The sequence below is a fragment of the Homo sapiens genome, chromosome X (assembly GCF_000001405.40).
Source record: "Homo sapiens chromosome X, GRCh38.p14 Primary Assembly".
Classification (NCBI taxonomy): Eukaryota; Metazoa; Chordata; class Mammalia; order Primates; family Hominidae; genus Homo; species Homo sapiens.
In genome coordinates this window covers 13,877,533-13,888,118 of record NC_000023.11, presented here as the reverse complement: position 1 = coordinate 13,888,118, position 10,586 = coordinate 13,877,533, and the positions used below count along the sequence as shown (strand labels likewise).

Sequence of the window (10,586 nt, the reverse complement as noted above, 5' to 3'; positions counted from 1 at the left end):
TATTCGAATCACTGAAAAATAGTTGGGTACTGAAAGTGTCTTTAGGGATCATCTAATTCAGTGGTTCTCAATCTGTTTTTCTGTCCTCAACACACCCATAGAATATAAAATTCTGCAATTAGCGCCAGCTGTATGTCTTTTTAAGCTGGGTGGGTCATAGCAGAATCAGGAGGGGTGGAGAAGAGCCCATTTTATAACAAAAAATCCTCAGTAGTTCTGAGATGCCCATATCCCACTGGTTCTCAAACTTCACTGTACATTGGAATCAGCTGAGGAGCTTTGCAAGCGACTGCTCTCTGGGTTCCATTTGCAGAAATTCTGATTTAATTTTTCTAGGGTGCAGCCTAGTGAGAGACTATGAAACTCTACCCAGGTGATTCTAAGTGCAGCCAACTTTAAGTCTAATTTCCTTAAAAACCACCACTCTTTTCTCCCTCCATTGCAAATGGCTGTATTTTGAATACTTACAGAGGGGAGAGGTTGTATGTTTCCTCCTGTCCCATTTATTTGCATCTTTGTCTCTTTGATCTGGAGTCCTTGGTCAGGAATCCAGGCTCAGTTATCTAATGTCTGTGGGAAAACGCAGCCCACTTAATTATAACTTCAAGGAGGAAAGTAAGCCCAGGAGGCTCAAATCTGTGACTGGTCTGTGGTAAAAACAGACTGGTGGGCTTCTGAGACTTTCCTGTGGACGCTGTTGCCTCTGCAGCCACTGGAAGAGATGTGGTGTCCTCTTGTTACCAGTGTGTCTTGTGTAATCAAGATGGTATGCCATGCTATTCACTCCAACATGCTTTTCTGTATCTTCCCCCAAGATGTCCCTACAGGCCCTCCTGAAGGAGAAACCCAAAGTGATTAACTTAACTCTTCCCTCTTTAGTCCTCATCATTTGAGGTTATCTTTTGTCATTGTTACCAGCAGGGAAAACACAAAGCATTTATCAGTGGACAGATTGGCATGGATAGGATGGCAGTTAATGTCGTTCAAAGATGAAGGCTCGGGCCAGGCACAGTGACTCACGCCTGTAATCCCAGCACTTTGGGAGGCCGAGGTGGGCAGATCACTTGAGGTCAGGAATTCGAGACTAGCCTGGCCAACATGGCAAAACCCTACCTCTACTAAAAATACAAAAAAATTAGCTGGCTATGGTGGCATGCACTTGTAGTCCCAGCTACTCGGGAGGCTGAGGGAGGAGAATCACTGGAACCCTGGAGACAGAGGTTGCAGTGAGCCATGATCATGCTACTGCACTCCAGCCTGGGTGATAGAGTGAGACTCCATCTCCAAAACAAAAAGATGAAGGCTGTGTTAGAGGGGGCATTTGTAGACTGGTACCCAACATCATACATCAAACACTGAGAACAAGAGTTTCTAGATTTTTTTTTTTTTTTTTTTTTTTAGTAGTGACTTAAGGTAGAGAGAGGTGGCACTTAGGAGATGTCATTCTCTTTGGTTTGATGTTGATGGTCAGTCCTGTTCAGGGCTGGGGAAGTGACCATGTCAGCAGAAGAACGACTGCTTAGGGTTTTGTGGCCTCTTTTCATGTAGGCTAAGAGAGGAAATGTCTTGAAATTCGGGTATAGAGGTGTGGAATGACTGGGATTATATAGGGACTCTATCCCTTCCATGCCCTGTAATGTCCATAGTGCTGGGAACTTATAAATACTGCCTTTGTGTGGAAGCGTTTTTCAGGTACTCAAGTAAAGTAACTCTATCCTGATACTCACAGTACTATAAACATAAAGATGAAAAAATGCAGGATTTAGGGGAAATGTTTTCAGATTTCACTGGAGAAAAATGTAGTAGCCTACAAAGATAGCAATTGAGTTCCTAAAGGCATTTGGGTTAAATTAATCATTGATTAAACGTGAAACTTCAGAGAGATTTTGCTTTCTGATTCATTAGCTTAGATTTGAATACATTTGCATCCCTGCATATGTAGAAAGCTAATTCAGTGAGGTCTTTTTGCAGCACATAATGAAAAAAATGAATGTGTTTTATGCTTAGGTGTTGTAGAATCAGGAGAAAGTGGTAGATAGGTCAAAATTTTATTTCTGTTGCTAACTTAACATATTACAAGTATATCGCAAAAGCATACGTATACATTTTGTGCTTCTTAGGCATTCGTTCTTTGTGTTTTAGCTTAACAAAAAGATATGTCAGTTTTTCATTTGGAGCCATTATAACATTGGAAAGCAGTAGGAGTGAAAAACTAAAACCACTCGAAACTCAAACATAAAATACTATCAGACTTCCTCTCTAAGGCAGCCTTGTTTCCCTGGCACGCACCCTTTGCTTCTCCGCTCATTCTTGCGGTCACTGACTGCCTTGACTGTACTTCATAGGCACCATCCATCACGCTTGTCTGCAGCAGTGACTTAAGATGGAGGGGGGTGGGACCACAAGATGCCTGGCCCTTGGTGGGGCGGGGACGGGGGGTTGTTGTTCATACAAAAGACCTTTGCATCCTTCCGAAGCGGGTGGCACCTCCCTGCCATCACTTGGGCATCCTCCACCAGCCTCTGAAGATTTCACTGAGGAGGAGGGGCCAGAAGTAGCAGGGTATAGGATGGAGGCCAGGGCCACCTCTAGGAGTCCTGGCCCGCTCACCCCAATCAGACTTTACATGCCTTCTTTCACTATTGAGAAACTGTAAGGGTTAATTTTGGGGATGTCATTTTTGAATGCTTCTATTTGCCAGGGGCAAACTGATTAAAAGGAAAAAAAGAGAGAGATTGAGCTTAAACTTCCTGAACATCTATTTGAACAGCTAAGAATTCCTTTTTCTAAGGTGGCAAGTAAGATAATTAATGGAATATTTGGTGCTTATGTTATCTAATATGTTAGTTTGGGATGAAATAAAGTCACAATGAAATTTTATTTTTTATATGATACCTATATACTTTATAGTAAACCAATCCTCCGTGTATACTTGATAATTTTACTTATGCACAGTTTAGGACTTTGTAAGAAAAGTGGTACAGATAGTTGTTTTCAAATGTCCTGTTCTGGGAATGCAGAGTTGGGGAACAAGATGCCTTCCTGTACTAAGAAATTACTGGATGTCTCCCTCGATGAGGTGACATATGAAGAATATATAGAGATGCCCAACAAATGTTATTTTCTACCCCTTTTTCTGGGTTTTTCGTTTTCTCTCCTATAAATTTTGGGCAGGCCGTGTGCTCTGTTGGGTCGTGTCATTTGAGTCCATCACTACATAGGACCTTCTCTCAATATTTCAAATACTTACACAAGCTAGAGGTTGTATGTTTCCTTCTGTCACATTTATTTGCATCTTTGTCTCTTTTATCTGGAGTCCTTGGTCAGGAACCCAGGTTTAATTATCTGATGTCTATGGGAAAACTCAACCCACTTAATGACATGCTGCATTATTTTGTAGCTCTCAGGGGAAAATGTGGCAAGAAAATGGAGACTGCTTATTATTTCTTCTTACGCCATGGTTCCAGAATCTTTTCATGAGAGTAAATAAAAGTGAGGTAAAATCTGCAGAATCCTTAGGTTAGAGAGTTTGCATTATCGATTGATAGGTCCTTAAAAACATTTTCTCTTTATTTCAGAACAATGGTTTATGACAACCCCATTCACTACTCTTGAAACTGATGAGGAACATCAGATTATGTAATCTTGTGCATTTGGCTAAGTCAGAGGAGGCCTGGTGAATTCATTTGTCATTCAGAGTCTAGAGGAATCTAATATTTGTTTCCAGATAAAAACCTGACTGAGAAAGTATATATTTCTGACATGGAGAACTATGCTAGATATTTTATATAATATGAACTATTCTAGAGTATTCTAGACCAGCACTGTCTGATAGAAATGTGAGCCACATATGTAACTTTTTTAAGGTTAGCAGCCTATTGAAAATTATTTGAATGGATAAAATCAGGTGAAATTAACTTTTTAAAATTTATTTATTTTTTGAAATGGAGTCTCACTCTGTCGCCCAGGCTGGAGCGCAGTGGTGGGATCTCGGCTCACCGCAACCTCTGCCTCCCGGGTTCAAGCCATTCTCCTGTCTCAGTCCCCCTGAGTAGCTGGGATTACAGGCGTGTGCCACCACGCCTGGCTAATTTTTGTACTTTTTAGTAGAGACAGAGTTTTACCATGTTGGCCATGCTGGTCTTGAACTCCTGACCTTGTGATCTGCCCGCCTTGGCCTCCCAAAGTGCTGGGATTACAGGCATGAGCTACCACGCCTGGCCGTGAAATTAATTTAACAATATGTTTAAAATTTTTTTTTTTTTGGTTTAGAGACAGGGTCTCACGCTATCGCCCAGGCTGGAATGCAGTGGTGCAATCATAGCTCACTGCAGCCTCAGACTCCTGAGTTCAAGCGATCCTCCTTAGTAGCTAGGACTACAGGTGTGTACCACCACGCCTGACTAATTTTTTTTTTTTTTTTTTAAGAGACGAAGTCTCGTTATGTTCCCCAGGCTGGTGTCAAACTCCTGGGCTCAAGTGATTCTCCCACCTTGACCTCTCCAAAGTGCTGAGATTATAGGCTTGTATGCCACTGTGCCTGGCCCTAACAATACATGTCATTTAACCCAGTATTTCCAAAATGTTATTTCAACATGTGACCAATATAAAAAATTACTGAGTTGTTTTACATTATTTTTGAAGTCCAATGTAAATTTTACACTTAGAGCACTTCTCATTTGGGATTAGCCCCAATCATATGCCCACTGGTGACATGTGGCCAGCGGCTACCATGTTGGACAACACAGCTTTGGACCTTCATTCCTAAACCCAGGCACTGAGAGATTGATAACCAATCAAGACTCCTGCTCCAATTTAGAAAGGGGACTTAAACATTGAGAAAAGGAGCTCTCTGAAAAAAAAAATATGAAAGACTCCTTCAAATAGTTGATATTAGAAACTAAACCACTTTCCACATAAAATCTGTGTTTTTGTCTGAAGAGCGCAGTGGGGAACTAGCAATTTGTAAAATGTTTCTATGTGAATTGGAAGAACATTCTGCCTTCAGATTGTGCTTCTGGAAAACCAGATCAGGATGACATTGAGAGGCAGATGATTGTATTGTAGCTTTTAAGAGAATAAGCTCTGTAGCTTCAATGCCTGGATTCACAGCCAAGCTCTGCTATTTAGGTTGGTGCAAAAGCATTTGCAGTTTTGGCCATTGCTTTTGATGGCTAAAGCCGCAATTGCTTTTGCGCCAACCTAATACTTGCTCGCTTTGTGATCTTTGGCAGATTCCTCTTCATGTGTACTTTTCCTCACCTGAAGACTCAGGACAGTAATAGTAACTATCTCCTAGGGTCATGAGGATTAAATAAACTAAAACAAAGGCCTCAGATTGGTACTTAGCAGTGAGCTATTCTATTACAGCATTAGCTATTAAATCATCATCATCGTCACTGAAAATTGTGCTCTTATATCTCATTCTTTTTTTTTTTGGTGACAGGGTCTTGCTCTGTCACCCAGGCCGGGGTGCAGTGATGCAATCATGGCTCACTGCAGCCTCAGTTTCCTGAGTTCAAGCGATCCTCCTTAGTAGCTAGGACTACAGGTGTGTACCACCACGCCTGACTAATTTTTTTTTTTTTTTTTTAAGAGACGAAGTCTCGTTATGTTCCCCAGGCTGGTGTCAAACTCCTGGGCTCAAGTGATTCTCCCACCTTGACCTCTCCAAAGTGCTGAGATTATAGGCTTGTATGCCACTGTGCCTGGCCCTAACAATACATGTCATTTAACCCAGTATTTCCAAAATGTTATTTCAACATGTGACCAATATAAAAAATTACTGAGTTGTTTTACATTATTTTTGAAGTCCAATGTAAATTTTACACTTAGAGCACTTCTCATTTGGGATTAGCCCCAATCATATGCCCACTGGTGACATGTGGCCAGCGGCTACCATGTTGGACAACACAGCTTTGGACCTTCATTCCTAAACCCAGGCACTGAGAGATTGATAACCAATCAAGACTCCTGCTCCAATTTAGAAAGGGGACTTAAACATTGAGAAAAGGAGCTCTCTGAAAAAAAAAATATGAAAGACTCCTTCAAATAGTTGATATTAGAAACTAAACCACTTTCCACATAAAATCTGTGTTTTTGTCTGAAGAGCGCAGTGGGGAACTAGCAATTTGTAAAATGTTTCTATGTGAATTGGAAGAACATTCTGCCTTCAGATTGTGCTTCTGGAAAACCAGATCAGGATGACATTGAGAGGCAGATGATTGTATTGTAGCTTTTAAGAGAATAAGCTCTGTAGCTTCAATGCCTGGATTCACAGCCAAGCTCTGCTATTTAGGTTGGTGCAAAAGCATTTGCAGTTTTGGCCATTGCTTTTGATGGCTAAAGCCGCAATTGCTTTTGCGCCAACCTAATACTTGCTCGCTTTGTGATCTTTGGCAGATTCCTCTTCATGTGTACTTTTCCTCACCTGAAGACTCAGGACAGTAATAGTAACTATCTCCTAGGGTCATGAGGATTAAATAAACTAAAACAAAGGCCTCAGATTGGTACTTAGCAGTGAGCTATTCTATTACAGCATTAGCTATTAAATCATCATCATCGTCACTGAAAATTGTGCTCTTATATCTCATTCTTTTTTTTTTTGGTGACAGGGTCTTGCTCTGTCACCCAGGCCGGGGTGCAGTGATGCAATCATGGCTCACTGCAGCCTCAGTTTCCTGGGCCCAAGCGATTCTCCCACCTCAGCCTCCCAAGTAGCTGGGACTAGAGACATGCGCCACCATGCCACGCTATTTTTTAAAAATATTTTGTAGAGATGGGGTCTCGCTGTGTTGCCCAGGCTGGTCTCGAGCTCCTGGGCTAAAGCAGTCCTCCCACCTTGGCCTTCCAAAATGTTGGGATTACAGGCGTGAGCCACGTGCCCAGTTCTGTATTTCACTTTCACACTCTCTATGCTCCACTTAGTGTTTCAGTTGCCTGTTTCAGTTGCTGGGCCTATAGTGGTGGGCAAGGTAGACAAGATTCCTGTTCTCACATCTTACATTTTAGGGATGGGAAATAGGCAATAAACAAGACAGGAGAACAGGCAAATGAACAAGGTATTTCCAGAGTGTGAGCAGAGTGTTCAGAGAGTCTCTAGAACAGGTTAACATGACCATGAGAAGCTGGAGGTGATGTTTGAGCCAAGACATGCATGACTTGGTGCAAATTTGGGGCAGAGCATCAAGCCCAGGGAACGGCAGGTTGCAAAGGCCCCATGGAGAAACCGGTGTAACGTATTTGAACACCTGAAAGCTGGCTCCTGTGTTTGGAGTGTAAGAAGGGGGTAAAGATTGGAGATGAGGTCAATAAGCAGGCAGGGGCTGGAACCTCAAAGGCCTTGCAGAGCTTGATAAAGAGTTTGAAATTTTATTCTAAGAGCCTCGAAAGGTTTAAGGCAGGGAAGTAATAGAACCTGATTTGCCTTTTTTTTTTTTTTTTGAGATGGAGCCTTGCTCTGTCTCCCAGGCTGGAGTGCAGTGGCACAATCTTGGCTCACTGCAAGCTCTGCCTCCCGGGTTCACACCATTCTCCCGCCTCAGCCTCCCGAGTAGCTGGAACTACAGGTGCCCACCACCACGCCCGGCTAATTTTTTGTATTTTTAGTAGAGACGGGGTTTCACCATGTTAGCCAGGGATGGTCTCAATCTCCTGACCTGGTGACCCGCCCGCCTCGGCCTCCCAAAGTGCTGGGATTACAGGCGTGAGCCACCGCGCCCGGCCTGATTTGCCTTTTTAAATGGTCACTCTGGCTTCAGGAGATTTAATGGGAGCAGGAGAGAGACGACCACTACTATCTGCTTTCAAGAATGTAAGATTGGACATAGCTCTCTGTCCCCTGCTTTGAGCATAGCTGATTCCTCTACAACAACCCCATCACTGGCCTTGTGTTGTGAAAGAGATCATTTTCTGCTTGTATAGGAGAGTAGAGAGACCTTTACGCTAACGTGGCCTGCCATTTCAGACTATGACATAACCATGCACATGCTCGCACATTCCTAGAAGAATCCGTGTGTTAGCAAAAGGATTGTTGTGTTCTTTGCGAAGCAAGAGCAAAGAATCCCTCACAGAAGCTGAAAATTGCCACTGATGAGTCAAATGGCCATGCTCTGGTCTTCATAAACAAAAGGCAGGCTCTGATTCCTCCAAGTGCAGCTAATTTTCAGGTAGTACTAATGGGTTTATACTAGCGGTTCTCAAAGTGTGCTTCCTGGACGAGCAACATCAGCATCACCTGGGAACTTGCTAGAAATGCAAATCCTCAGGTCCCACCCCAGGAGACATACTGAACTCTGAAGTGGGCCCAGCAATGTGTTTTAACAAGCCCTCCAGCTGATGCACCTCAGAATTTGGGGAATCCCTGTTTTTTGCTGCTAGAGATGATTGCTCAGAGTAAAAAGCACTACTAAACATGGCTGAGGAGCAGAGTGATACTCCTTTCATTGTAATCTTTTTAATGTAAATGCTGAGTATTTGGGTAGCTTTTGGAATCAAGTGTTTGAACCACGCCTTTTGTGTTTGAAGCTATTCATGTTTTATTTAGGTTCTTTTGTTGGATGCTGCTGTATGGTATAATATTTACAAGGTTTCTGGGCTGGCTTCTCCTTACTGGAATTTTCAGAATTGATGTAATTACATCCTCCCTGAGTCGAATTTAACAGTCTAAATTGGAAGAAGCCTCTGGCTGTCCTGATAGAAAGTTCCCACTGAAAACAACCAGCAGCATTGTATTTGAATCTTTGTTGTCCACAGGTAGACTGTCTATACTACAGCTTCCCTTCAGTGAGTTTTTAACCCCTGGGTGGCTCATGCTGCCAGCCAATCTGTTCTTATGTGGATCTTCACCGTAAGTTATGACCTGCTTACGGAAAGCAGACAGATTTTTAGTTTAGATACATCATAAAAGGTATATCTACTTGTTGGGGGAGGGAGGGAAATAAACATTCCAAATACAGTACTGTTGTCAAAGCCAAGGATGTTCTACTGTGGGGCTGTTCTTATATCCCTGCTGTATCTGTTTCCTGTGGCCGCTCTAAGACACTACCACAAATTTAGTGGCTTAAAACAATGCAAATTTGTTATAGTCCTGGAGGTCAGAAGTCTGACGCAGGTCTCACTGGGCTAAAATCCAGGTGTAGATGAACTGTGTTTCTTTCTAGAAGCCCTAGGGGAGAATCCATTTCCTTGCCCTTTCCACCTTCTAGAGGCTACATGCATTTTTTGGCTTGTGGCCATTTTCCTACATCTTCAAAGCCAGGAACTGTGGGTTAAGTTTTTCTCACATCGCATCACTTGGACCTCTTCTGCCTCTCTCTTGTACACTTAAGTACCCTGTGATAACGTTGGGTCTACCTGGATGATTCAGGATAATCTTTGGTCATCTGATTAGCAACCTTAATTCTATCTGCAACCTTAATCCCCCGTTTGCCATGTCATGTAATTCACAGGTTCCAAGGATTAGGATGTGGACATCTTGGGGTGGGGGGTATGATGCTGCCTACCACAGCAGGCCACTAAACTTCCTTACAGCCTCAGTTTCCTTATCTGCATAATGACATTAGTAAAAAATTATTGAAGGCTCTCCTTGAGCATTACAGGAGATACATGTGAAATTATTTGGCACAGAGCTGCCCTTCAGTAGATGCTGGTGGCCTAACACTATTTTATGTTCACAAAGTGTCTACATAGATTCTTTTAAAAATTATTTGAATGCTTGCTTCTCACTCCCAGACCCCTCTGCTCTGTTCTTTGGTACCCCTTCCCCCACCTTCCCATTGGGTGGTCTCCCTGACCCATGCTGATAGGAATAATTAGAGCATATGCAAGTGGAAAGGGTAGGGGAGAGGAAAAAAAAAAAAAACCTTCTTGTCTCTAATCAGTTACTATTTTCCCCCATACTTTAAACTCTGAATAGAATATTCGTAAGAGTTTGGGAGATTCCTTTGATTTTTTTTTTTAACAGCTTTATTAAGGTATAATTTTCCATTTGTTGTTCTCTACCTTGCTAGAGTTACTTCTGACCTCGTCAAATCCTGATTCAATCAAACCAACTGTCATTAACTATTTGGGGGGATAATTGTTGAAATTTGAATATAGGCAGATCTTGGATGATATTAAGAAACATTAACTCTTGTATGAGTGATAATAGTGTTGTGCTTATGTAAGAAAATGCTTATTTTTTCAAGATACTTACTGAGATATTTAGTTGTGAAATGTCAGAAGGACTTAAACTAGGGGAAAAAAAAGGCGAAGCAAATATGGTGAATTTTTTTTTTTTTTTTTTTTTTTTTTTGGCAGAGTCTGGCTCTAATGCCCAGGCTGGGGTGTAGTGGCATGATCACAGCTCACTGCAGCCTCAACCTCCCTAGGCTCAGGTGATCCTCCCACCTCAGCCTCCCAAGTAGCTTTGACTACAGAAATGTACCACCATGCCTGGCTAATTTTCAGGGGTTTTTTTTGTAAAGATGGGATTTTGCCATGTTGCTCAGGCTGGTCTTGAACTCCTGGGCTCAAGCGATCTGCCTGCCTTGGCCTCCAAAGTGCTGGGATTACAGATGTATGCCACTGTGCCTGGTTCATTTTTT

The 10,586-nt window shown here is 42.4% G+C and overlaps 1 protein-coding gene across 5 annotated transcripts in view; it reads left to right on the top strand.

Annotated features, from left to right (window-relative positions):
* Nucleotides 1-10,586, top strand: part of GPM6B (glycoprotein M6B) — a 167,700-nt gene that overhangs the window by 50,520 nt on the left and 106,594 nt on the right. The gene's annotated exons all lie outside the window — the stretch shown is intronic.